Source organism: Homo sapiens, chromosome 4 (genome assembly GCF_000001405.40).
Source record: "Homo sapiens chromosome 4, GRCh38.p14 Primary Assembly".
In the NCBI taxonomy this organism is placed as follows: Eukaryota; Metazoa; Chordata; class Mammalia; order Primates; family Hominidae; genus Homo; species Homo sapiens.
The window spans coordinates 139,054,116-139,057,219 of record NC_000004.12 but is presented as its reverse complement, the minus strand read 5'-3'; the positions used below and the strand labels follow the sequence as shown (position 1 = coordinate 139,057,219).

General features: G+C 40.2%; 1 pseudogene; it reads right to left on the bottom strand.

Annotated features, from left to right (window-relative positions):
* Positions 1,642–1,745, bottom strand: RNU6-531P (RNA, U6 small nuclear 531, pseudogene; annotated as a pseudogene).

Genomic DNA, 3,104 nt, shown 5'->3' with positions numbered 1-3,104 from the left:
TCTCAAATTCTGTCTCCTTTTAAAACATTTCCAAAATATTTCAGCTTTGAAAATCAATATTAAGTGCTTTGGCACTTAATTGTATTATCTTGTTTATTGCACTGTGACTTCATTTGTTTGTCATGTCTTCCATAATACTCATTTAGAGCAACGATTATATTTTATGCCATACCTACCCCTCTCCCCAAGTGCTGAGCATATTAGACACTCAGGTCAGACATTTATTGATTTTGGGAACATTTGCTGAGAATATAAGTCACATGCTTAAATACTTTGCTTCTATGCTGGATTCTTAATCGGTTCTAACAGGGTTAAACCAGGGCTATCTAGCTACCTCTGCTACTCTACTGGAAATTTTTTTCTCTTTGAGAATAAGCACATCTAAAGTCTAGACTTGGAGCCAGGTGCGGTGGCTCACGCCTGTAATCCCAGAACTTTGGGAGCCAAGGTGGGTGGATTGCTTGAGGCCAAGAGTTTGAGACCAGCCTGGCCAACATGGTGAAACCCCGTCTCTACTAAAAATACAAAAATTATCCGGGAGTGGTGGTGCAATGTTTGTAATCCCAGCTCCTCAGGAGTCTGAGGCACAAGAATCTCTTGAATCTGGGAGGTGGAGGTTGCAGTGAGCCAAGATGATGCCACTGCACTCCCTTCAGCCTGGGTGACAGCGAGATTCTGTCTCAAAAAAAAAGTCTAGACTTGGAAACATACATGTTGACAGTATATACTGATCAGAATGTTGCAGATTGAAATTAATGATGTGCCTCACCCCCATCCTTCCTGCCCTTTTAATGCTATGGCTTTTAATCTCAGCCCTTCCAAACTATAAATCAATATAATTTATAGTTGCTTTTTTGTGTCCAGTGTATTAGAGGGAAAAAACCCCACATAACCTTGGCTTGATGCTACTACATTTTCCAGCCTCACTAGATCTTTAAATTATGATCAGTAGTCTATCAATTTATTCTTTAGGCCACTTTCCAGCATCAATTCCAGCCTTCACCACCCTTGTCACCAGATAACCAGTATACCTCTACAGAGAACATGGTCATGAGCTGTGAATTCTCTCCATTCCTGGACCCCTTGTTACAGATGATTTAGTTACTCCAACATCCATCCTTACCACCTGTCTCAGGAAGGAGGTGCCCTTCCTCCTGTGCCCAGCATCTCCCTTTCACACCTACTTGGTCTCCTTGCTCCAACAATTAATAGCCTATCTTTCTGTCCCTTCTTTTTCTTCAAATAGCCTGCAGTCTGAATTCTTGCTTAGAAACAGTTCTCCATGAGATCTCCAGTAACCCAACTGTCAAATTAAACGGACACTTTGGTTCACTTAATCTCATGGCCTACTTCTCAAAACTTACTTGGTTTCCCATGTTTACTTCCTGCCTAACCAACTTGTTTTTTCTTTGTTCTTTCTGCCTATGGGCTTCTTTCTTCTTTTCCTCATAGAATTGTTGTCAGGATTAAATGAGTTAATATATTAAGGATTTGTAACTAGTGTCTGGCACATAGAAAACACTCTTATTAGACGTTTACTATTATTTCACTAACATAATTGTTAGATAATCTCACCCATGCCTATGGTTTTTACTACCAAATCTATTGTTAAAGCCTAGACTTTTATGCTGTCATTTTTTTTCTCTGTTGGAATGCTTCATGAAATTGCGTGTCATCCTTGTGCAGGGGCTGTGTTAATCTGTGTATCGTTCCAGTATTAGGATATGTGCTGCTGAAGCAGGCACTACTGTATCTTAGGTGGGTTTATCTAATTGCCACTGGCTGTTTCTTCCTGAGTATCCATTTGAGCTCTCTTCCCTCCAAAATCTGTTTCTCTTAGCCCAATAAATAATACCAGCAACCCATTACTCATACTAGAAGCAACCTGGGGGCCATCCTAGATACTTTACCTCCTCTAATCATTAACCAAATTTCTACTCATAGTACCTTCTAAATACTTTCTTTTCCATCCTCCCTGTCTTTGTCTCACCAAGTCTCTCTCTAATCCATTCTCCAGGCTACCAGTTGAGAGCTTTCTAAATGCAGCTTTCATCACTCATGAACCTTTGTGATTGCTTCAGATTCTTCAATGGCATCTCTTGCTAAAAAGATATGCCTAAGCATAGCAATTAAAGTCCTTTGATCTGGGCTCCTCCTGTCTCCCCAAGCCTCATTCTCTTGCTACTCCTCTTTTAGACTTACTTGGGCTATATTTCATTTTTTCCCAAATATTCTAGGCATTCATACCTCATGAGTCATCCATTGATGGCTTCTTTCTGGACAACTCGTTCCTCCTTCACCTACATTGGAGTTCAGTTTTATTTACTGAGATATGAGGTGACAGACATCAAAATAAAAGTTTCTGAAATAGGTGTGGAAACCATTCAGGTTGGGGAGTGATCTGTGAGTTAGCTCAGAACTTAAAGAGTAGAAAGAGTAAAGTATATAAAGATAGGTTGGGGGAGAAGAAAAAGAATCAGCAACGGATGTCAAGGACTATTCATAGAGAATAAACAGGACAGATAAGGTAACATTTCAGGATATGGTGGCAACATTAAGTGGAGAAAGGCAAAGCAAATCAGGCTAAAGAAAAAGCCACTGAGCTTAACACTGACAATGAGAGGGCAGTTCCAGTGAGGTGTGGTGGTGAAGCCAGAATGTAAGGGATGGGGCACTTGGTACATTACTTAGTGGCCTGTCTGACACCGCATACACGCAGGAGTGTACATTTCTGATCACATTAACAAGTCATGTGTAATTACTAAGACAAACTAAAGAAAATTTTGGCCTTGGAGTTATTTATAAGGTCTCTTATGATCCTTTTGCTTTTAAGTCTCCTATCCTACTTTTATGAGGGTACTACAGAGCACTTTATTTTTGGCAGGCAAGAGTAACCCTTTAGTTCCACAGCTATCAAAGCAACTTTCCCTTTTATTGTAGCTTTTAACCATTCAAAGTACTGCAAGTCTTCAGTGGTTGTGATTCATCTAGTCTTCAGCCCCTTTGTTACAATCACTGTCCCCCATAATTAAAACATACTCTGTAGGAACTCAGTACACTGTGATGCCAGCCCTAATGGTAGAATAAGATACTGCTCACCCTTT